At 37.3% G+C, this 26,142-nt stretch overlaps 1 protein-coding gene across 25 annotated transcripts in view, besides 1 other annotated feature; it reads left to right on the top strand.

The window, feature by feature from the left end:
• Positions 1–26,142, top strand: part of DMD (dystrophin) — a 2,220,167-nt gene that overhangs the window by 2,154,743 nt on the left and 39,282 nt on the right. For 15 of the 25 annotated variants that reach the window (XM_006724469.4, NM_000109.4, XM_011545467.2 and 12 more), the window contains 7 exon segments: positions 1,742–1,908; positions 4,165–4,276; positions 5,841–5,977; positions 6,676–6,714; positions 11,042–11,107; positions 12,233–12,298; positions 15,045–15,203. In XM_006724469.4, coding sequence (XP_006724532.1) covers positions 1,742–1,908; positions 4,165–4,276; positions 5,841–5,977; positions 6,676–6,714; positions 11,042–11,107; positions 12,233–12,298; positions 15,045–15,203 — 746 coding nt within the window. 25 annotated transcript variants of the gene reach the window in all.
• Positions 15,935–16,024: an enhancer, noted in NCBI's record as "active region_29513". NCBI's record gives its function as "activates an Ori minimal core promoter by ATAC-STARR-seq in GM12878 lymphoblastoid cells {active_cell/tissue: GM12878}" and the evidence as "EXISTENCE:reporter gene assay evidence [ECO:0000049][PMID:35858748]".

Here is a 26,142-nt window from a genome sequence, read left to right as displayed (position 1 = left end):
GCAGCATGATTTATAGTCCTTTGGGTATATACCCAGTAATGGGATGGCTGGGTCAAATGGTATTTCTAGTTCTAGATCCCTGAGGAATCGCCACACTGACTTCCACAATGGTTGAACTAGTTTACAGTCCCACCAACAGTGTAAAAGTGTTCCTATTTCTCCACATCCTCTCCAGCACCTGTTGTTTCCTGACTTTTTAATGATTGCCATTCTAACTGGTGTGAGATGGTATCTCATTGTGGTTTTGATTTGCATTTCTCTGATGGCCAGTGATGGTGAGCATTTTTTCATGTGTTTTTTGCAAAGGAGCAACAGTCATCTTTACTATTGACTTCTCAGCAGCAACAGAGATAGACGAAAGTGGAGTAATATTTCAGTATTCAAAAACAAAATAAAAACAAGACCCCAAAACCTTTCAATCAAAAATTTTATACTTGGGCCAGGCGCAGTGGCTCACGCCTGTTATCCCAGCACTTTGGGAGGCCGAGGCGGGTGGATCATTTTAAGTCAGGAGTTCGAGACCTGCCTAGTCAACATGGTGAAACCCCATCTCTACTAAAAATACAAAAAGTAGCCGGGTGGGGTGGCGTGTGCCCATGGTCCCAGCTACTTGGGAGGCTGAGGCATGAGAATCACTTGAACCCAGGAGGCGGAGATTGCAGGAGCCGAGATCACGCCACTGCACTCCAGCCTGGGCAATAGAGATAGAGTCAGTCTCAAAAAAAAAAAAAATTGTATTTAATGAAGATAACTATCAGGAATATGGATTTTTTTTTTAAAAAAAGGAGGTATTTTCAGACAAACAGAGCTTGAGAAATGCACCACCAACAGCTAAAGGAAATTCTAAGGGACATATTTCAGGCAGAACTAATCCCAGATGGAAGATTTGAGATGAAAGAAAGCAATGAAGAGCAAAAAAGTAGTCAATATATAGGTCAATCTATCTAATAATATAAAAAATTAAAACAATCCTATAGGGTTGAAAAAAACAAGGTATAATTAAAATTCATGAATATAGTAACATATAAATCAAATGGTGGTATTTTGAGATTGTTGAGATCATTGTCCTGTCTGGGATGAATTGTATTTCTTACATTTAGACTTTGAAAGAGAGAGAAATAGAGAGGCAGACAGAATCAACAGGGCATCATGAAAACAGCGCTAAGCCAGGAGGTTTGGATTCTATTATCAGCTCTGCTGCTAGCTGTATGGCCTTTGAAAAGCTCCTTTTCTGGTCTACAAAATCAGTTTGCTTGTCTGTTAGATGAGGCTTTGGAACCAGATGAATTTTAAAGCCCCTCATTATGATTCTATGAGAAACAGATTCTCTAGAAAAAAAAATCAGTTGTCCCCCTCCTTTGAAATTTTATCAGTAAACACCTGCATTTCACTTCTGGCTAACTTTTATGTATCAGTTCAAAAATTAAAGCTAAATAAAGTCTCGCTCAGGTGTGTAGTTTGCTTACCTTTCTCGTTTGTTGGTTTTGTTTTCTTTTCTTGTCATCTAGTAGCCAAAAAGAGTAATGGCAGTTTACCAAAGCCTTAGGAGTGGGTAGCTCTTTGGATATCAGGGAGCATTTGCAGAAACAAGCTGTGAAAAGCCAGCCTAGCTTTGCAACCATTGTTCTTTCTATCTTTTCTGTTTAACTTATTAATCGAACTGATATACACCTCCTTTGCCATCTTGCCTTCTTTCCTTTCATCCTTTTGCCCTCCTTCTCTCTCCCTCCTGTCTTTGCAGGCTAATAATAAGCCAGAGATCGAAGCGGCCCTCTTCCTAGACTGGATGAGACTGGAACCCCAGTCCATGGTGTGGCTGCCCGTCCTGCACAGAGTGGCTGCTGCAGAAACTGCCAAGCATCAGGCCAAATGTAACATCTGCAAAGAGTGTCCAATCATTGGATTCAGGTATTAGGAACCAAAAAAAAAATGTCATTTTTTTCTCATCATTTTTCACCTTTTTATGACTTGATCTTTTATCTCCTGTGCCAGTTGCTGTTAGTTCGTACCGTCTCCAAAGTGGGAGAGAAGGTGATTGGGCTGGAACATCGATCATTCCTGTCACCCTCCTGATCGCTAGGTTATTTTGGTGGATCTCACTTATTAGGCTGGTGTCCCTTACCACCTTCACTCTTCAGCTCTTCGGAGCCACATTTTTGGTTGAGCAGGCCAAAGTGCGTGTCTTCACGGAGGTATTACAGATGAACTGTACCTCCTCCTTCCTGGAACCAAAACATTTTTACCATCTTTCCTTTTTCACGGTCTTTCCTGTTTATAGAAACTTCCCAAGAATCAGTTATAAAACTGAGAGATGATTCTATTCTGGGAGGAACCATAATAGTAGCTCAGTCTCTCATTCACTTTGCACCATTTTTTTTTCTCCCTTAAGTAACAAGAATTGTTTTCAGCATCTTAGAACTTGCTTCTTTATCTGTGAATCTGATTACATTCTTTGTATAGTATCCCAGTGAACTTCTAAAGGAATAAAAAGTAGGCAAGTAAATGGAAGATTCACAAAGCAGCTAAAAAACAACCAGTCCTTATACATTTAGAAGTGAAAGAGATAGGAAACGTAGCAGGTTATTCTGATAGTCTTAAAATATCATGGAAAACAAGGCCAAATAAATCTTTAGCCCTGCTGACCTGTTTGGGGAGACAGGATTTTTTTTTAAATGAATTAATCTCACTTAACATTAATCCTAAATCCTAATTCTGAAACTGCGATGTCCTTAAATGTGTGAATCAACATCAAGGTTTCTATAGTGATGAATAAGCCACAAAGTTGTAAACTAGCTCTATGGTCTATGCCTGTGCAGAATCCACTTAGCAGCAAAGTAAACACTCTTTTCCAGTTACGTGTGAACTGGTTTTGTTACTTTATTTTCTAATAACTACCTTGTACTGTTGCGTGCTTTTTATTCATAGTGCTTTTTTACTTTTGGTGTTTATTGTTCCATAGTCATGCTGTTTACAAAGAGGTTTTACAAAAACTTTTAGAGGTTTCTGAAGCCTAGATAGACAACAGTGAGTAGGTACTGCTTGCAAAGGTCACCTTCTTTCCTTCCCGGTTTCTTGGCAGGTAAAAATGATACCATGGGGGTGGGGAGTGGGGAAGGGAAGCCACAGTGACTGCATTAGATTTCTAAGCTACCTTTTCTCTGCTTCCTTAGCTAGTGGGCTTTGTATACAAGGGAAATTTTTATAAAATAAAGAAGAAGAATGCCTTGGAGGATCTGAAAGAGCACTTTCACCTTCAATTCTTTTGCCCTTATCATATTATATTATTTTAGGACCCAGCACTTCTCATTCCTCCTGTCCCCCTCTTGAAAGATGGCTGGAATCTAAAAAAGATAGCTTTCCTTCCCACTTCCCCATATGTGACATAAGAAATATGTTTATTTGAATTGGCTAAGGTTCTTATCTGAGAAAGCAAAAGGCAGGAGAGTATGAAACAAAGAATATCGCATTCTGATAATGGAGGAAATGTACCAACTAGTATTTACAGATTATAAATTCTTCCATCTAATCCAAATTTCATGTTCTCTTGGGGCTTCAGTTATCATTTGTAGGTAATGGGGTGAGAGATTTCTGAAGAGATAGAGATAAAAGAGTTCATTCGAGTAACTGTTTGAAGATGAATCGTATCAGTCAATTAGAAAACATTATTAAAGCGAGACTTGTTTTAATTGAAAGTTCTTGTTCACATTTCTTTTGTCTTGTGAAATTGCTTTATCTTGACAATGTTTTGAAAATAATTGCTTCAGAAAACTTTTGTCCCATGATGGGTAAGGGGCATGCACAGCGTAAGTCTGTCGCTCCTGGAAGTTCTTTTAAATTTGAGTATTTGGTTTTCAAAAGACTGGAAATTTTCCAGTACCTTCCTACTTAATCTCAAAGAGTTCCTAGTGGAGTTTAAATAAAAGCTGAGTTTTTCTTCCCTCCTTCCATATGTTTATAGGATAATCTTTCTGCCAAAATGTTTTGGTACTGTAGGAGAGGCACCGGAAAAATCTGGAGGCAGAAAGTTAATCACTTACCTTGTGGGACTAATGAACATTGCTTTCTGTTTCTCAAATTAGAACGTGGTAGAAGGTTTATTAAAGAGTGTTCTTTGGGAATTTGATTCGAAGAAATACATACGTGTTTGTTTTTGCTCTTTATCAGGTACAGGAGTCTAAAGCACTTTAATTATGACATCTGCCAAAGCTGCTTTTTTTCTGGTCGAGTTGCAAAAGGCCATAAAATGCACTATCCCATGGTGGAATATTGCACTCCGGTAAGTTTGACGCCAGCCTGACGTGAGAGTTAGTTCACCTGGGATAAATTTCAGTTTTGTACAATACTGCAGATCATGTATAATGCTGTGATTTGTCACTTCCCCAGATGTTCCCCAGCTAAAGTGGCTCTCAACTGTAGGCTTCAGGATTTACCCTATCCCTGGTGCCTAGGGGAGTGCCTGGCACATATGGAACATGATAGACCCTCAATAAATATTGTTGGATGAATAAATAGGGTTTTCATTCTGTGTGCATGGTTGTATTGAAGACGTTTTCACGTTTATTTTGCACAGCCTTAGAGGTTGTGTGGGGCGATCTTATGGCCATGAGGCATGTTGAGTATGGGGGATGGTTCTAGGTTCCCCCAAATTCATAAACTACCACTTTTAATCAATGTTGCTCACCTATTATCTGTCCTGTATACTAGTGACATTTTAAAAATCCATTTTATATGCTAACACTTACTAAATGCTAGGCATTTACCTTTTAAACTACCCTGTGTAAAATAAGTACTATGATTTTTATCCCCTCTATACAGATGAGGACCCTGAGGTCCTGAGGTTAAATAATTTACTCAAGGTTCTATAAGTAAGAGTTGAAGCCATCTCCTAAGATGTTATTTTAGGAAAATGTTAAGTGGCCAATAGAACTGTGAAAAATCACTAGGGAAATGGCAAGGATGTAGACTTGGTGGCCAGACAGACCTGAGTACAAATCTGCCTAAGAATTAAAGACAGGCTCCTCTCAGGTTTGTTTTTTCTAAAATAAACCTGTCCCTGTTGACTGTAGAGCCACCCTTCGTGTTTCTCTTCTCTTTCTTTAATTCTTACAGTCTCCTCTTCTCTAAACTTTGCATGCTTGCTATTCAAGATACGGTCTGTTGACTAATCATCATATGTCTATTGGCATTACCTTGGTCTTTATTAGAAATGTGAAACCACAGGCCCCAACTCCTGATGCTCTAAATCAAAACCCACATTTTAGCGAGATCTGCAGCTGGTTCCCATACACAACAAAGTATGAGAAGCTCTGCTTTAGAGCATCTCTCTCTTCCATCATCAGAGTGATCCTCCCAGATATTTGCCTGTCTCACTTTTATTCCTCTTATAGAGATGGTCAGTGATTGAGAATGTACCATGCTATGAATAGACCGAAATTTAGTGGGTGAAGCATGCTATCATTTTGTACTAAGTAGTTTTTAAAATACCATAAAGTGTGGTAAAATTTAATGTCACCTTTTTGACCTTAAGACCTATAAACTACCATTTATTGAGTAGCCTAGTAAGCTTGTATGTTTCTTTTATTTATCATAACAACGTGTTGAGGTGTTGTTGCTCCCATTTTACTGATGATCAGAGCCTCTGAGAAGTAAATAACTCAGCCAAATTAGTACATGCCAGGCCTGGTTTCAGAGCCCCATTTGTCTGATTCCAAAGCCTTTGCTCACAACCACAACACTCTCCTTAATTACAAAACAAGTGTCATGGGGCAGAAGACTGGAGTGGTCATTAGTTTTGAAATCATCCTGTCCTAAATCTGATCTCACCATGATCTCCCTTTTAGACTACATCAGGAGAAGATGTTCGAGACTTTGCCAAGGTACTAAAAAACAAATTTCGAACCAAAAGGTATTTTGCGAAGCATCCCCGAATGGGCTACCTGCCAGTGCAGACTGTCTTAGAGGGGGACAACATGGAAACGTGAGTAGTAGCAAAAGCAGAACACACTCTTGTTTGATGTATATTTGAACTCCTCTCAGCTGAACACCCTCCTTCACTCCCAAATGCAAACAGTCTCTTCTATTTCTTTCTTTTTATTTACATTAGCTGAAAAGAGAAAAATAAGCTGATGTCCAGTTGCCACTTTCCCACGTCACTTGACAATTTCTTTTTCCAAAAGTTAAACTTTATCTCACAGGGGGAAAAAAAAAAAAAAACCACAACACAATACAGCCACTAATTGCCTTACAAGCCTTATAAGAAATATGGGACTGTTTACAAATGAGTGATTCCAGTATTTCATTTTGATTTTCCTCTCTCACAAATCAGTAAATGTGTGTCTTTTTGTATCTCATTGTGTGGTCATATCTAGTCACTTGTTTCTACTCAAAAGAAAATATAGTCACAGGAAACTACTTCACAGTAAGTAGTAATGATTCTCAAGATCAAAGGGGACGTCTTCACCTCTTTTCAACCTGCTCCTCTTTTTTGCCTTAACTCTGATGGCAGTCACACAACTGTGTGTTTTTCTTTTAATTCACTTTACACCTTGGTTTGGCTATTGCTTTCCATGGTTCATACTTAATTGGCTGGATTTTATTTATTTTGACCTTTCAGTAAATTTTTTTGCGGCTGAGTTTGCGTGTGTCTCCTTCACCACCTCATTTTTTGTTTTGCAGTCCCGTTACTCTGATCAACTTCTGGCCAGTAGATTCTGCGTGAGTACTTTTTTTGCTGAAGGGTGCTGCTACCACCAACACATTCGCTCGCTTGGTTCTCTTTTGTTCTGTTTATTTGTTTGTTTTCTTTTGTTTTGTTTTGTTTTATGGACATATTAATTCCCCTTCCTTCATTTCAGTTTTTTTTTTTCTTTTCTTGATGAGACTTTGAAAGTACCATCTACACAGATCAGGAGAATCAGAGTGGGTTTTTTGGTTCCTCCACCAGGTGAAATTCAAACCAGCAGAAATCCTGGCTTGAATTCAAATTATAATCAAAGAAGTTATTGGAGTTTTAGCTGTATTCCTGGGAGACATGTTTATATATTTCTTCATATAAAAGCAAGGAAGAAGCTTCTGATTACATAATAACATTCTTTAGCCATATTTCTTGAGATTCGATGCTTTTTAGAATCTTTAGGGTCTGTTATAAGTGGACTATTAAAAATCAGCAGAATTCGTTTTAAAGTATGATGCTGAGTTTGGTTGAATAATTTTAATGAGGTGTGCGGACTGTTTATCAGGTTATGCCATGCTATTTGACTAATCATTATATACAAGGGTTTCTAAATTTTGAACTAAACTCACTTTGCTCTCCTCTCCAAGCTAAATATTCAGCTCATAAACAATTATACATTTGCTCTAGGAGGAAAGTATTTCTTTGTTATTACTATTGGTGTGTATTAATAATACTGAGCTTAGATACCAGCAGATGATTTATCTCAGAGTTTATAATGCTAGAAAACTCTTTTTTGGGGCCTGTGATTTCTATATTAGCAAACAAAGTGCCTATTTTAAAACTACATTATGTAGGGTTGTTATAACAAACTTTTGGTATTTCAAAGTATGCTTTATTAAAATATTTATTGAAAATCAGACAGCTCTGTTATGGATAAAGGGGAAATGACCAATTCGGAAGATAAGCTTGTGTAAGAATTCAATTTCTTTTTATTAAATCTTTTTTATTGTTCCACCATATAATTTAATCTAAACTAGATCCTTTTTTAAAAACCCTGTCGTGATAAATGCATATTATTAATTGAGGTTTATTTTCAGTCTTTAATAGGCCTAAAGGAAGTGGAAGGCTATGCTTTCCTTTTTAAAACTTCGTTATTGCGCCCCTTAATTTTGAGATATGGTAGCTATAAGTAGTATATTATCTGATTTATTTAATCATCATGCTTAAAGAACTTAGGGAGTTATTTAGGTTCAGTTATGTCCTCTGCCTCTTGGAAATTGTGTTTCCTAACCCAGGTAGTCTGTTATAGAAGTTACAACCGTTCATAAATAAGAAACTTTTAAAGAGTTGATACACTACAGTTTCAGCTTGATTGGATCCTGATAAGGGAATGGATTTACTCTATGTGGAAATAAGTTTAACCGAGTAAGAAATCCAAACGACAAATATGCTAAAGAACAGTTGTTACAAATACATAGATAAAAGTAGCACCAAATAATAAACAAAGAGTAATTAATAGTCCTTGAAAGGCAAAAAGGAGCTACACGTAAGCTAATGAGAAAAACATTATGACAATCAGATTAACTTATTTTAAGTAGAAGATTTTGTCTGTCTTAAACGTTGAAAGACTTTAAAATTAATAACATCTTTTATTTAAAAATATTTTCTAACAACTAAAACACACCTCCCAATTTGCCTTTTTATGAAGAGTTGGTTAGATTATTCAGAAATAGTGGGAAGTTTTAATTTTGAGGAAGAAAACAAATCTAGCAGACTGAAGTCTGTGTTTTCTTTAATAGCAGTAATTGTATTTAAAGTATTTATTCATAGGATTATAAATACTGTATAAAATATATTACAAAGCCATCCTATTCAGGCATAAGAGCCAGGTCCTAACGTGTTTCATTTTGCAAGACTTGTATCTAATGTTAACAAATCCTATGATGATTACAATATTTGATCCATTTGATATGGATCACAGAATTTGAAAGTTTCCAGAGATACAGACCGTTTGGTTTTCCTTAGACTAAACTCTTATTTGCTTGTGTTTGTCATATTACTTTAAAACTAAAGCTAACATAGGCCTTTACGTTGTCTGTCCATAAGTGAGCCAGTCAAACGATATTCTTTGAGCGATTCTGCATTGAAACCTAAATGAATGTCAGCTTTTAATTAATAGAGTTTTCATAAAAGAGAAGGTGGTGGTGGGTGGGATGGAATTGACCAAGTAGGTCATTAACTCTTATAGTAAGTAATCCTTCTGGGTATATGGTTTTGTGTTTAGGAAGTGGGAAGCGGGGAACAGTATTATTACCTTCTTTTGGAAGTGTTTTAGAAGGCTTTGCACTTAGTTTTGTTTGTGGACTAAGTGGCTTTGTATTTTCACTAATTCTTGGTTTTTAAATGATTCATCTCTGACCAGTACTCCCTTTTGGCTCATTTTCTGGTTTAATAAATGTCTCTTTTAGTGTATATTTTTTAAGATTTCTGGTTATTGTAAGTTCTTGTGCTTATGCATGCTGTGATAGGCGCCACTGATATTAATAAGAAAAATAACATGGAATTATCCTTGAGGCAAAGAATTAAAGCTCTGTATAAGATTTTCTGTATAAAATGGTATTAAAGTATTTTGGATTTATATGCCTACTTTTCTTGGTGTACTTATGCTCCAAGGTCTTAGGCTTTCATTCTTGTACACACTTCCAGGATAGCAACTATTACAAGGGAAAACACTACTAATGTATTTTCCCTGATGGTAGGCTTTTTGCTTATTAAAAAAATATGTAATTGAAAGACTGGTCTGTTCCAAAAGATAGTTCTTATAATACAAATAATCCAAGTATTAATTTATCTTGATCTGCAGTGAAGATTTCAAAACAGACCTTAGCATTTTTCTAATAATGGGCTATGCCAGGGTTCTAGAAGATTAACAGATTAACTCTCCAAAACTATAGTGAAGTTTCACATGGAAATCTTTGGATCTGCTTATTAAATTGAGTAGTCATCGTTTTGTTTCCTCTTGACAATTTAAACGTCTTTATAACTCATTTCAATTTGATTATGATTACACTTGACCTAGATGACATTGGTTTCATAAATAAGACCTTTCTCTCTCAGGGAAGAATTCCATTTCCCTAGTTATTTGCTATAGTGTGTCGTAATTATCTTACTGTAGTATATTAAGAAATATGAATTTCTGGCACATTTTCTAATGCAAGCTTAGCTACTGGTAACTGCATCTTTTTCTTTTTTAATGTAAGAAGAAACAAACACATTCTCCTTAGTGTTTCAACCAAGTCCTTCAACGCTACTTGGACACTGGGCTAAACCAGGGTCCTCTCTGAATTACATTATCGTTGACTTTTGGATTTATGCCTTTACCTAAGGGCTTTCTGTGTCAGCAGAGAAATGGAAGAGACCTTTTGTGCTATTCCAATTAAAAGAAAAAGTCCAAGCCTAAACTGGTTTTCAGAACAGATGGTTTTTTTTCCTAAGGTTAATCCAAAAGATACTATAAAAACTTCAAGGATAATTAATAGATCAGATATGAAAGGATGAAAAAATGTTAACCCTACCAGAATTCTAGCCTATGGAGATAAGAAAAGATAGGTGTTTATATACAAAAAGCATATAGACTATTCCTGCTAATGATCTCCTCTTATTTTCTCACCTATGTTTTAGCACACAGTATCTCTAAGAAATATTTCAGATATCATGACGTTCTATGAAATTTAGTCATTCTTTTTTAAAACCTCACAATATAATCCAGGGTCATTCTATTTTGTGCTAGAAATTAGTGGTATAGTCTTGCTGCTGAATTGGAAGATACATTTCTTCTTTACAAAATTGCATAGATCAAGACATCTTGATACATGGAGTTTTAAGAAGTCTTGTACTAGAGTAGCCTCTTTGAAGCTAAAATAATTGTAAGTATCTAGGCAGATATACAGCTTTGATCCAATAAGAAGATAGCCTATAAATGGCGCAGGTGTAAACTATTTAAAATTTTAAACCACATAGGGCTAACACAATTTCGGAATTATAGGATGTGAGAAATTACAAAGTAGGAGGACAAAATGCTTCCTAGAAACTGTCTCCCCCAACCTTTTCTACGATGGGAATTTTCCAGAGAAGATTTTGGCCTCTCTTCATGGCTTTTAATAAAAGCAGAAGTATGAGAAATCATCTCTCAATCCTGGATTTTAAAATACTTGATAATATTTAAGATATAGGAGCAACTAAATGTATACATTATCCATAGAATTAGAATAAAAGCATTCTAGGCCATGTGTATAACATAACTGTGTGGTGGGTTTTTTCTCCATTAATGGATGGTATCTGTGACTAATCACATTTTCTGCCTTATAGGCCTGCCTCGTCCCCTCAGCTTTCACACGATGATACTCATTCACGCATTGAACATTATGCTAGCAGGTATGAGACTAGTTGTATGCCAGGCAAATATTGATTGAAATAACTAACCAAGGAAAGCTAACCTATGATATTTTAAACAAATCTTTTCTTTTTTTCCCCAAACTTGTCTGATTCCTACTAATCAACTTGCCCTCTAACGTGCATGCCGTTCCACTGCATGTTGTTTTTGGTCACCAACAAGAGCATTAGTCCAGAATAATCTTCCCTAACCCTGGCTTTTAAACATTTCCGGTAGCCTTGCTATGTTTTTTTATACTGAGCACATTTACTAAATTGGCTTACAAATAGTTTAACCTCCTTAGAAAACTGCTAGACCAGACATTCATATATGAAAAAATGATACTATATTATATGGAGAATATGAAAGCATCAGCTTTCCGTTTGTGTATTTATTTTACATGATATGCTGTAAAGAAGAGAATAATTAATTTTCCTAATCCTTGGACTTTTCTGTCTCACCTTCTTTGTGTTTGAGATGATTTTTATACCTAAAAACTGAATTACTAATTTTAAAATATTTTATGCTTGTTAAATCCGTAAGAGTTTGGTTAACTTTTTTAGTTGTAAAAAAACAAACAAACAAACAAACAAAAAACCCCCTGTATAATTGCCTGAGGTGAAGAAGATTTTAAAGGTAAAAATTGGTGGCAGAATGTTTAGAGAGCTTACTGTGCATCCATCCTTTGTCAATATTCTAACTGCTGGACATGTTTACCAATCGTGAAAAGCATTAGCTAGCTGTGTAAGTCTGTCATCAGTGGAAAGTAGTAATTGTCCTAAAAGACAAGGGGTAGTGTAAGGTAGGGAGTGCACTTATTGTTAGGGAAGCTTTTCTTCTGAAAACAAAGACCTGTTCTCAGTGAAAGCAAGACTGATCTGTAGGGGGAAAACAGTGAAATATAACTTTCCTTAGAATTTCTATCATAAATGTAGTGCTACTAACTAGCTGTGGTCTACCACACACTGCCTCAAATGGTTAAGCCAACACACACATCCTTTAATTTGAAGGATTCCTTTCTCTTCTTGCCATGATTTATCCTTTAGTTTTCAGGAATGTTCGATTAGGTCTTGAATAGATTCTAAGACGTCACATAAGTTTTAATGAGCTTTTACGTTTTTTATCAGGCTAGCAGAAATGGAAAACAGCAATGGATCTTATCTAAATGATAGCATCTCTCCTAATGAGAGCATGTAAGTATCCCATCTCTTTTTACAAAATGTTCCTGACAATGAAATTGCTTTGAGGGATTTAGAGGTAGGATAGCACAGGATATAGGAATTAGCATCATATTCATTTGATCTTTTAAGGAGCCATTCATTTACTTTTTTCCTTTAATTCTTAATGCCCTGGCATGGAATGAGCTCATCCAAATTCTGGCATTATTAGTATTCAGAGTAGCAAAAATAGTTTGCCTTACTCTTATTTGAACTTATTTCATACCATATGATTACAAATTGCAGAGTCCCAAGTATTTATAGTAATGCTTAATCTTTGACCAAACCTGCCAGATATTTAAAGGGATAGGATATTAATTTTAAAGTCATGGCTAAGTACTATTTTCTCCACTCATGGGGAGTGGAAACGTGATCTTGGTATAGCATGGCTATTCACATATGGTAGGTTAGTTGGGCATTTTCCTTCAGAAATCCAAAGAAGTAGATTTTTGTGATTTAGCATCTTCACAAGATAAATAAAGTGAGGCAATCTTATGAAGAGTTTCCAGAGGAGAAGTACCAATTCAGGTTGCAGGTTGTTAGCAGGATGATAAGCCAACCCTGTTAAACTTTAAGGACGGAGATAGAGCGGTGCTAAGAGCAGCAGGGAACACAGCTATGGCAGGGAAACAGGCTTCATTATAGAGTGAGGGCAGTGTTCACAATACAGAGCACAAAGGAACATTGCCATGAACCAAGTAAATGCTGACCGGGGCTTGAGGTAGAGAGAGCAGACATTGAAGCAAATATGAAGGAAAAAATAAGGATTTGCCAAGTGAATAAATAACATAAAGAGAAGAAATCTAGTCAAAGTATTACGATGCCTTTTTAGTTTGATAAAGTAAGGATATCTCACCCATCTTGGAGAATATAGACAAAGGGAAGAATGGTAAATTTATCATATGTAGTTGGTGTGGCAACACAAAGTCATGCTCAGATGAGAAAAGAACCTTCATAAGGATTAGGCCAAAAGAAATAGTATCAAAGTGGCATATATATAACTAGTTATTGAAGACATGAGAATAAATAATCTCATCTGGTACATAAACGATCAAGCTAATAATAAAGAATCAAGTCAACCCTCAGTCATTTGTATATGACTTACTTCCTTCAAACAAACAAACAAAAAAGCCTTTCCCCAACCATAACTGTGATGCCTTATCTTTCTTAGCTATGGGAAAAAGTATTAATGGTACTAATATATAAGATACTTCAACAGTAAAATGTGTGGCCAAAGAATCAGCCAAATGTAAATAGCTTGTGCTTCTTTGGCTCACTGATTTTGGTATTAGAAGCTCTAGCACATTCAGATTAATTCGAGTTGTATCTACGTAACAGTGGCTGTCATTCATTGACTGCCTAAGAGAACAGGAAGAAAAGTGTAGTTACAACTCTAGGTTATAATTAAACATGGGAAGTTCTAGCAGTACAACTTCAGAATTTGGAATGAGTGTGATAAATTAGGTGGTAAAACTGCTTTTGTTTTATTTTAAAATAAGCTTTAGCTTATTCTGAGGACATAAAATCCATTTTGACTCAATGTTGGATGGCAAAAACTCATGGCATTTTAGGGGCAGGTTTGGGGAAGTGGTTTGGTGGATTGGTTGACTTCACTTAAATGTGTGTTTTTAATACCCAATAATTATTTTTAGTCAGCTTTTCACATCTAAACCAGGTAACTGGCTTGATAAACAAAAATAATTCAAATGAGAAGGACTTTTTCCTAAATTTCTGATATTTTTCAACTTAAGTGGGTATGGAGAGGAGAATATTAGCGTATCATCTTAATGATATCTAACCAGAAACAATGAGCTTTAGCCTGTCATTACGGACAGAAGAAAATTCTTATAACTTGGAGGTAAACAGGCCTTTCCGGAGCTTGGAGCAATGCATTCAGAAAAAAGTTTGTCCTGTGTATTAGAGAGTTCCTAGTTTCCAGGAAAGATTGTAGCTGCCTCCCCAAATAGAAGCCTTTTTGCCTCCTTTTCCCGCAAGATTAGTCCTTAAAACCATTATGTATAAATTTAAAAATAAATAAAACTTGTATTTAAAAAAACTCTGCCCCGAGGAATGAGATGTTCAGTCTTCTTTTAATCAGTCACCTTAATGTCTTTTTTCCCCTTAATTTTCGTTCTTCTGTCTAAACAATAACTGAATGAAACAATCATGTATCTCCAGTTTAATTGTTGTTGTCATTCTGCCTCAATGACTTATATAAGTTAAAACTGACTTACTGAAGCAATACTTTTTGGTTACATTGCCTTCCACTTAATAAAATATTTCCTCTGTTACTTTTAGAGCTGCAAGGTATTTTTTCCTACTCAGTACAACAATAGCGTGGGTTAGTGAACAGATTATCTTGACAGGCTTGGTGGCCAAAGCATTATACAGCCATTATTATATCTTTTAATATTTTTTAGCTATTGACTAACATCAACGTAGAGTCCCAGTATTTCTGTAATTCTGCCTTTCATTTATCCGTGTAAATAGGCCAATCAATTTCATTTGAAAATCTGAGCAAGAAAACACTTTGAATTGGTACCAGTAGAATGGTAGATCACAACCTCAGCAGTATCAAAAGGTCTTTAGAAGCAGGAAAAAAGGTCTAATTAATTGTTAAGAGCAAATAAATGTTTCTATTTTCAAATACACTCCTGAGTCCCTAACCCCCAAAGCAAAATAAGGGGGGGAAAAAACCAAAACCTTTGATTTTATTTTCCAGAGATGATGAACATTTGTTAATCCAGCATTACTGCCAAAGTTTGAACCAGGACTCCCCCCTGAGCCAGCCTCGTAGTCCTGCCCAGATCTTGATTTCCTTAGAGAGTGAGGAAAGAGGGGAGCTAGAGAGAATCCTAGCAGATCTTGAGGAAGAAAACAGGTGAGTTTTCTTTCTAGCTTTGTCATTGGTATGCAGAGTGCATACACTTGCACACATAGAAAAGTGCCAGGAATCTTCACTTAGAGTCATTTTATGTCTAATTGTTTTCTAAAATAATCTGTTTAGCTCCATTTGCAGATTCTCTCTCTCTTTTTTTTTTTTGTTATCTGAAAGAAGACAATGGATGCAATAGTATGATGAAGAACTCATATTTTAGGTGTGAAGGAGTTAATGCTGATGGTGGTATTTGACTTGTTGCATGTGTCTCCAAGGCTTTGATTTTATATTTCAGAATAGAATTTAAGAAAAAAGTAGGTTATTTAATTTTATGATTATATGATTTTTTTTACATGTGTTTGGCCATATTATCTACCTCAAACATTTAAGAAAGTAGGGTTATTGGCTTGGTCATATTGGGAAACCAATTGTTTCATCTTATTTTTCATCATCAAATGCAGAAATTATTATTTATGCTCACCATCATAGCAGGTTAGTGAGACAATTCCAATTGTCAGCCATCACCTGTAAAAGACAGTCATGTAAAAATAGCAGAAATTGTAGAAGAGAAAAAGGCTAAAGAACTCTCATAATGACTGCAGGGAGGACAAAGATGTAAACATCTGGGGTACTGTATTGTGTCAGGATAATGCAAATCATTGGACTTTCAGTTCTGTATTACATTTATTATGTCACAGGTCCCTTGGTTTAAAAAGTCTTCTCACATGATCACTTCTAACTCACAATGTGCCTTCTTCAGACAGATGCCACCAAGCAAGGATTTAAAGTAGATGTTGCTCAGATTTGTGGGTCTTAAGTACTTTCATCTCTTTGGTTGAGCCCAAGGCACCAAAAGCTCTTAACGTAGGCAACGCAGTGTGTCTGAGATCAGTGCCCTCGGGAGTATGCCACTTCAGGATGAAAAAACAAACTGCCACTCTTCCATTGCTTCCTGCTGCCACTGCGAGCCTTCTAGCTCTTAACACCTTTTACCTATGGCCATAGCTCCTTATCTGGTTGGCTTCCCTTTAGTCTCTTTCCCACCCTTGCAATAAATCCTCCATACTGACTCTACTTGTACATCTTGCCAGAACCAAGACCCATCATGGCATTCCCCTTTCACTGGATTTCTGCATGTAGAAAAAAATCAAGCTTCTTAGTGGGGCGTTCAAACCCTTCCACAATATTCTCTTGACTTGCTTTTTCTATGCCATCTTCTTTTGTTCTCCCTGTGTTCTGGCTATGCTGTTGTAGCTAGTATTTCTGAATACATCCTGCTCTCATCTACCTTTGGGGTCAAGCTCAAGCTTGAGTCTCAGCCTAACTGCTAACCTCTAACCCACCACTGCCGTATCTGACAAAGGAATCCCACCTATCCTCCATCACACTGCTCAAAATAACTTTCCCCATGGAGCCCTGCTAGATCCCTGCAGTTGGAAGAAATCTGTCTTTTGCCTCTATTCCCAGAGCACTTTGGACCTTTCTCAGAAAATTCCTTGACAGTTTTCCTTTTTATCAGTTATTACCAGTGCCTCTCTTTAATGAGCTAGTGTGTGTCTTTGGGGCATGGACTGTATCTTAATCATCTTCATATCCTCCAGAGTACTTAGCATGGTTTGAATATTTAATGGCTACTCAGGAAATGTTTGCTAAAAACCTGAAAATACAGCAAGAACATCACATGAGTACCATCCACGAGATAATATTGAACTTTTTTTGTTGTTTTAATGATAGCTTTATTTTTGGCCGTACTTTTGAGATCATTTGTCAGTGAAGACCATGGTAGAGAAAACATTTCTACTTTATTGAGAATAATCAGTAATATCCATTTATGTTAAATCTGTAATTATTGTAGGGGTCAAAGTCAAATCGGAATAAAAAGTTGGAACTGACACTGTAAATAGAATTTGATGTTACCAAGGAGTAAATATATTTTTGAAGTATATGATCGTGTAATATATCTTTTGAGCTCATTGGTCAAGAGCCCTGCCTCGTTTGTGGTTAGCATAGTCTTTCTCCGTACCATTGCACCCGGGTCAAAGAATGTTTGTAAAGAGTACTGATAACTATCATTTATTTATCATTTTATCATTTTGAGTGCACTTTTACATATTTTAGATCATTTAATCTTCTTACAAACGCTATGGAGAAGAGACTGTCGCCTTTCTGTGAATGAGACACAGGTTCTTAGAGGTTCACACAGCTTGCCCCAGATTTCCCAGTCAGCCAGTGGTAGAACTGAATTGAAATCCAGATTTTTCTGACTCTAAATAGGCAACTCTGCCTTCAACCAGATAATAAAGAAGAGTAAGTCTCTGTGAATGTCATTTACATAGAATTGCGGCATATTCCCCAGAATGTGCCTTAACTTGAGGGACTATCTATGAGGACTGAGTGTCCCGGAATAAACCTGTTCATCTACTTGTGGCACAGCGATAACCGCTTTACCCTGGAAGATATCCAAGACCATTCTCCAAGAATGGGATGGTTTGTTCTCTAAAAGAACAAAAAACATAACACCAGGCCTACTTAGAGCTCCAAAATGAGGACTCTGGGGTTGATGCAAATCTTTGTGTAAGTTACCTTGACCTTCACGAAATGATCAGGATGAGCTTCCTTCATTGTCCCTTCATTTTGTCCTATTTGACCTTCTACCAAATTCCAAAGAAATGTCTCCACAGAGTTCCCTTCCTGAAAACAGCCCGTGTGTTTTCTTTGATCTGCCCTGTCCTGTCTTCTTGCAGTTCTGCGCAAGGAGCTTCAGAGCCCTAGATTTGCCTTCGCTACCCTTGAATTCAGTGTTGCTTAAGGAGCCTTTAATTTGCCATTTCCTGTTGAGAAAACCCAGGAATTCTTTAGATGCCCTCTCTGTGCATGTCTAGCTGGCTATGTCCTAAGTCAGCATTGGGCTACGCAATCTGACAAATACGAGCATACTTTTAGAGAAAATAAGAAAGTATATTTAAAATTGAGATTGCCCCAAGTCCTTTGGATGTGTACTTATTGATCTGTTAATATATATATTTTATGTTCCTTTAGCTGTGATTTATCTCCAAATAACAGCAAAAGAGAGAGGCCTGGAGAGCCCCATTCCTGACTAGATATTTATTAAATTCCATTAATTGTTCTTATTCATGACACCTCCCTACAACCCCCTAGAAAAACAGAGGATGGCTGTTTGAGAAGTGTCTCAGAGGTATCTTATCTCTGCCTTTAGAATTCCATTTCTCCTGGTTGTTGCACATAGTATTCAATAAATATTTGTTGAATGCATTAATGAATAAATGAATTGAAGCTGAATTTATTTTAATTGTAGCATACATGCATGCACTTTTGACTAAAGTTCTTTTACAAACCTAATTTCGTAGAGAAAAGCCTTTCAAAGACTTTGTTTTCTGCTTGCTTTTCAAAATTCTCCCCTTTTTCAAACTGCCTTGATTAGCACCAGGCATGGCTTTGTCATAAATTTAGAATGTTAAGAACCCGTTTTCCAAATCACAGGCACTGTATGTATCCCACATTGGTGTTCTCTGATTCTTGGTTGATGCCACAGAGATAAGGCTAAAGCTCTGAGTAAAAGCTAAATCTGACTGAGTTTTTCCCATAGTGCCTCCCATAAGTTTGGATGACTAATGGTGTTAGTGAGATATCTAATCTTTAATATTTCGCTTCTGCATCATATTTCTCCCTCATTACCACATATAATTCAGATACATCTTTATTTGGCAAAGAGCCACTGGATCTTGGGTTTTTGCCCCATTGTGTGTCCTTAGCATTGCAGACTCAAGGTTTACTTTTTTTTCTTGCGTTGATTAAAGCCTTCAGTCTCCTGACTTAAGCCTGTAGTGTTCAAATACAGAGATGTATTTGTCTCTGCACTGTCTAAATAAACCAAGACTTGCTCTGAAATTCAAGGTATGATCCTAGCAATGAAAAGGTAGCCTTTCTGAGAGACAAAGACATTGTCGTTCTACTACCTGCAGAGCAAATTGATTAGATTGTTCTCAAGTCAACAAGGTGGCTAAATATTAACCTAATTCACCATAAAGTCTAAAGTTAAAGTTGTTAGTAGATGTTATATAACACGAGGGAACTCTGTAGATTCTTAATACCTACTCAGGACCTTTCATATGTCTTGTTGGGCAGTAAGACCTTATGAAGCCAAAATTTGAGTTTTCTCTTTTTCCTTTAAATTCCTCCAGTGATTGTGCAAGATTATTATTGTTACAGTCAAAGAAGTTCTAGATCAGTTACTGATACCACTGAATTAAAGTAGCTGGAAATCATGATCCCGTTGCTTTACTTTGTAATTGACTTGATGACTTTGGACCTAGTCTAGTAGCTATCAATCTTCATAGCTACGGGAAATCTTTATTCAATGTTCTTTCATTAGGTCTTTGTGCAAGTCTCCAATGATGGTGAAAAGATGGCCAAAATGAAGGGAATCTGAAGAGGTTAGGAATGGGCATTCCTATGGAATATAAACAAAGGTGTCAGGGTGAGGAATGGCAGAGTTTGTTTGAGGGAAACTGCAGTTGTATTACCTTTTTTAAGAAGGCAAAGAATGAGAGGAGATGAGGCTGACCAGGTCAGCAAGGGCAGGTCGGGAAGGGTGTGGTACCCACTGCAGAGTTGCTGCCTCCGTGCCTAGTCTAGGGAGCAACTCAAGGGTGTGATCCAGGAGTCAGGCCATGATATTGACATGAATATACGCCACACAGGCAGCTGTGCGGAGGGTAACTTTGAAAAGAGCGATGCTGGAACGAGGAAATCAAGCTGGGGGGAGTCACATGGGAGCCCAGGAAAGAGATGATTAGAGCCTTAAGTAAGGTGATAGAAATGAAGTAGACAGGCTGATCTGAGTGATATTTCGGGGGAGGATAGAGCTGTTTGATTCGGTAGTTCTGTGGGACTAGGGTATGAAGGAATGATTCCCAGGGCTGGTAACTACAAAACAAGATGATAGTAGTTATTTGCAGCTGGGACTGATAATTCAGGAGGAGTTGCAGCAGGTCCATCCTTTAATGCAGCAGTGTTTATTAGAGGTCCTTCCTGAAGGGCTGAGTAGCTGGAAGGTGATAAATGAGGTATGGAAGAGGTCGAGTTGAGGTCCTGGTGACATCTCCATGTGTAAATGTCTGACAGTCTGAGAGATAGAACTCTGATGCTTGTAGAAAGGATATAAGCCTGAGATATTAGGACTGTGAGTCGCCAGCTCACAGGTGGTAGTTGAAACCGTGAGAATGAATTTATATATCCCGGGAGCATGTAGCAGAAGGAGAACACTGGATTTGGTAGAACTCCGGAAGATGTGAACATTAAAGTGTGTATTTAATTACTTTTATTTTTAGTAGAGAATACATGTATATTATTATACAAAATCCAAAGGGTTCAAAAAGACATATAGAGAAAAGTGAATCCTTCTCCAACCTTCTCCCCTGGCTGTGGTGTTTCCAGCTCTGGAGGCTGCCATCTTTCTTGGTTTCTTGTGTTTCCTTCCAAACATGCTCTCTACATATGCAAATATTTGCAAACATATTTATGGTTGTTGGGGTTACTTCACACAGTGTCGTGCAGTGTTCACTCTGGTTTTCTCTTTTTACTTAAAAATCTCTAATTTTCACATGCTGGAGAAATGTGCCAGAAGAAGAGGAGGGCAGAGCTTGGGAATGATGGGAGCATTTTCCCACAGGAGGCAGGAGAGAGAAGGGTTAGGGAACTAAAGTATGGGAGGAGGCGTGACCTTGAATGAGAGGAAGGACTGCCTCTGAAGACAAAGTGGTAGGTAAGGAATTTAGGGTAAGGAAGGGAGGAAAGAAGCATAATGGAATGAATGTTAAAATGTCCAGTAGACATCACTGGAAATAATTCAAGACTGATTCCTACGGCTGTTCCCACATGTTTTTAAAGTTGGAGTGGAGAGGAAAGCGTGGTATATGATACATTTAACGAAACTAGGCATTCAAGTTACTTGGTGTATTAGTCCATTTTCATACGGGGCAATTTACAAAGAAAAAGAGGTTTAATGGACTCACAGTTCCGTGTGGCTGGGAAGGCCTCACAATCATGGCAGAAGGTGAAGGAGGAGGAAAGGCATGTCTTACACGGTGGCAGGCAAGAGAGCATGTGCAGGAGAACTGCCCTTTTTAAAACCATCAGATCTCATGAGAGTTACTATCACAAAAACAGCATGGGAAAACCCCACCCCCATGATTCAGTTACCTCCCACTGGGTTCCTCCCATGATATGTGCGGATTATGAGAGCTATAATTCAAGATCAGATTTGGGTGGAGATCCAGCCAAACTATATCATTTGGTGACATGGGCCCCAAAACAAAGGGCTACAGAGCCCTTCTTGAGACAAAGGGAGCTAGTTTGATCACAGAAATCAGAAAGCCAAGACCTTTTATGGCAAGGATGAATAAGAGCTGAAGGGCATACATGCCACATTTAAGAAGCTGTGTAAGAATGGGGTCAACCATCTCAGCTCTACTCAGGCAGGGAGGACAGGAACATGGTAGAAGTGGAATCACCATTATTCACAGACTCAGTTTCTAACTAGCAGGGCCAGTGTAACTAAATTTCCTTCAGTTTATCCAAAGTTAATTGAAGTCTGAGGGGACTGATTCATAGTATGCAGTTCATGGCAGTGAATGGATAACCCAGAATGAAAGTTTATTTCTCCCTTTATCCTAATTATCTCTCTTTTTAACTGCCTTGTATTAAAATGTTATCAAGGTTGCCTTAAAGCTTTTTTAGGAGGAGACAGCATCTGGTTTAAGTGCAAATACTAGATCTATTAAAATGAGGAATATATTCATTTTTTCGGCACACAGCATCCTGTGTCTTAGAATCCAGTGTCTTAGGAATCACAATAAAAATCAAATTGTGTTCTGGTGAGCCTAGAATCTTGGCATCTAAAATTGGATGTTTGTGAGGACTGCTTCATACTACAAAAAAATTGAAGCACCCCTCTGGCGATTAGAATATTCACATCTTACAAGTACAGCTGCCATCTCCCTAGAACATGCTGGATAAGAGTTTATGTTCTTACAATCCAATTTCCCTTTTTTTTTTTTTTTTTTTTTTAGATTTTTCATGAAGACCCTCATCCTCCTGTTGGCCTTCATTTGCCAATTGTCCCTCTACAGTAGAATTGATTATGGTCATGAGTTTCTTTAGCTACTTTCCAGGCCTGAGGATGTAATTCTGTTCAATTCTGCAGATAGTTACTGAGTGCTTAATGTAATTTTAAAATTATGAGACTACAAAGATGAATAAGCCTTGGTTCTTACCCTCATGGAGCTCAAAATTTATTTTAAAAAAGTTAAAATAGAAACAACTACTTATATCCTACTGTTACAAGTGCTCTGGGGGCACAGAGGTGAATGATTTATTCTATCAGAGGGAGTAGAGAGGCCTTTACAAAGAGAGTTTAAGAGTTGAAGACTGAATGGGAGTTTTCCAGTCTGAGAGATGGGGGAAGGATGAGTTTTCCAGACTGGTGGACCAGTGAGTAATGTGTGGCTTGGAATGAGGAGAATAAGAGGGCAGTGGGATGGTAGGTGGGGACTACTGTTTAAAGGACTTTGTGCATCATACTAAGGAGTTTGGGTTTTATCCTATAAGCAGGTGAACAGTGATGGCTTTTTGACGGGGGGGAGGATTGAGAAAAATAACTGACCTGGCAGAAAGCTAAAGCCATGAAGATTGGTAGAAGCACAGTGGAATAGTCCATTAAAAGATGCCAGGTTCTTAACTAAGGATGTCTTAGGCAAGTGAAGAAGGGGATGGAGAAATTAGAAGGTCACTGAATGAATGAGACCAAGGGAAAATGGAGAGGGGGAGGCATCTGGTGTTACGGAAAGTTTTAATTTGGGAACTGGGAAATGATCATTGAAAAACAAACAAAAGCAACCTAGTGCACCCAGGAAAAACTCCTGATTTGCAAAGGGTTAGTGCATGGAGAGAAAGAGCTACGTATCAGACATACTGAATTCTATTTGCCCAAGGACATTTCAAGTGGAAATTTCCTATGTTGATTTTACGTATTCAGTTTTCAGAAAGGATTCTTTAAAAAGTCATAGCAATACAATTCCTGCAATATAAATAATAGATCAATGAACATCATAGGGATTAGCATAGTTGATTTGACTAAGCTTCAGATTCAGTTTGAGCTTCCCTGTAGCCAGGGAGATAATAGGAAACAAAGATTTGTCTGTCTCTTAATATTGAATTAAAGAAGCACGCAGCATCCTAAAGAAACATCATTGTTTTCCTGGCTCTACGTAATAATAATAATAACAAAAATAGCTGTCCTTTGAGTGATTGCTATGGACAGGAACTGTTCTGAGTACATATGAACTCCTATTTAATCCTTAAAACAACCCTATGAAAGAGAGGCTGTTTCCAGAGGATTACGTGGCACAGAGTATTAAGGACACTTCATATGGCCAGCAAGTAATAGGACCTGTATTCAAACTTGGGTGGTGGTCCTGAACTCTTAAGCAGCGTTACACTTGAAGTGATTATTGGCTAGTGTCCTTATCAACATTTTTATAACAAATCCCAAGGGAAATTATATGTGGCTGTTTCTCATGGCCTTTGATAATTGTGGAAAGCTTAACATTAAAACACCAAAGATAGGGTGACAGTTCTCCAAGGATAAAGGTCACTGTTGCCTAAAATGTATTCTGCAGAATACCACTGAGATACTCTGAGAAAAAAAGGATTCCAAGGACAGTAAAACTTTGAAAGCACTCATACTGGAAAGTCATCATTACGTTAGCATTTGCACTGAGGAGTTTGGAAGTGAAGAAACCTGATTAGCTTTGTCTAACCTCATGTTGCTCCCACTTACTTGACCTCGAGCCCAACTGCAATGTTATATGGAACACACTTTGGTAAAGAAATTCAAGTCTGAAGTAAACTTTGAAAACCAGTCTAGGAGATAGCATAGTTGACTCTCTACTGTAGTTGTTGAGAAGCCTATCCGTTGTGTCTCTGGGAACATCAGAAGATAAAGCTATAACAGGTGCCCACGTAGGAAGCCTGGATTTTTCGCACAAAAGTAACTTTTCATATGCTCTAGTGGTGAAGCAGTTACCCTGTAGACCCAGAAGCCAGAATGATTTAGTCTGAAAAATCTAAAGATAGGTATTAAATTAACTCTCATGATCATAGAAAATTCTTTGCACCATTTTTGTAGAATATCCCACCGAATAACTTGGCTTTTCACCCAAACCACCAAGAAAAATTGCCACCAGTGACTTGATGCAATTAACTTGCTATCGGGAGTTCTTTCTTGTGAAATGATTGAACTTTGAAAGATGTTTACCAAAGACAGCACCTTTAGCTTCATCACAATTACTGTGGAATCTTTCTTTGTAAGTAGTTAGATGCAAAGGCCAGTTGTTGCTTGAGGCCTCTCCTGGATTGTGATTTTAAAGTGTATCATCAACACATGGGAAGATATTTCTCCCTCTTTATCTTATGACAGAAATGCAGGTATAGCTTTCATCTCAAAGTAAGATTAAGGTATAAGTTACAAAGATGTGTAGCTACTATATGGTCCTGTGTAATGCTACTTGAGGAAGGCTGTTCCTTTCCTGGCACTGAAATTTTAGAGCTTGCATAATCAGTATATCAACCTCGTGTGGCTTGGTGCTTAGCAAGTTTCAGCTTCTAGAGCCCATGGCTAATGGAGCCATCCAGGAGAATGTTGGAGAGATAGGTCTGAAGCCTTAGAAGAGAAGTCTTGATTAAGGAGTAATGAGTTGCGGGAAGGGGTCATGGTTGTGGCGGAGATGGAAGCCTGGGGAGAGGACAGAGACCTCCTAGGAAGAGAGTTTGTGTAAGAAGAAGACCAAGGACCTCCTGATGTACTTGATTGTAATTGGGCATGAGCAGCCCAGTTAGAAATGGTTTCCTGTTGGTATTACATATGTACATGGATGGCTTCTGCAGATGGCTAAACTCACCCATTTTATTTTTTTACTATCTTAATAGTTAAAATATGACCTTTTCTTGTGTCTCCAAATTCTGAGTTACCTTATGGTGCTAGTCTGTCTGTTGTAACTACAAGTCATAAGTAAATCCATATGATTCTTTTCCTGTAATTTCCTGGTAAATCAAGGCGATAATTTCAAAGATAAAAATCTGTATTTTTAGCTTTAGCAGTGAGCATGATTCCCAGTCTTTTTGCCTTCGAGTAAGGTTTGTTTCCATGGTGGAAGTAAACAATATCCCACACTCTAGAATGTGAGCTCTTCAAGGGTAAGGGACAGTGTCCTACATATATCTTTATCTCCACAGCACTGGGTACATAAATGTGTCATAAAAATGAATGGGTAAATATCCTTTGGAGTTTTTCTGTTACTTGATGGGTTTTTGGGGTTGATTTTCAGGTATCTCCCTTGTTTTTCTCATTTCTTACATTATTTTCTTTCCCAAAATCCCTTAATATACCTGTTTAGTTTGTGATGTCATTTTCCATTAGACTGAAACCATCCAAGTTGTTTAGGCTAACCCAGACTTAAGCATTTTCTGGGCTTATTTTTGGACTCTTTTTAAAACTCATCATCTGAAAATATTTAATGTCCACACGGATAATTCTGAAGACATGTGCATACCATTTTTCTTTTATGTACATGGGTTAAACCTTGATTTTTCCATAGTAGGAGAAAGCATTATAAGATTTTATTGTTTTCACTGGGGTAATATCTTTTGTGCTATAAGAAATAAAATTTTGAATCTAGAACTTAGTTTTTTATAAGACCTTTATTGAGATATAATTCTCGTACCATAGGAGTTACCCATTTACAGTGTATTAGTCACTGATTATTAGTTAATAGGTTAACCAGTATTAGTAATCACTGGTTATTAATTACAGAGTTGTGCAACCATCAGCGCACAATTTTAGAACATTTTTATCACCCCCCAA

The sequence above is a fragment of the Homo sapiens genome, chromosome X (genome assembly GCF_000001405.40).
Source record: "Homo sapiens chromosome X, GRCh38.p14 Primary Assembly".
NCBI lineage: Eukaryota > Metazoa > Chordata > Mammalia > Primates > Hominidae > Homo > Homo sapiens.
This window is presented reverse-complemented; position numbering and strand designations above follow the sequence as displayed.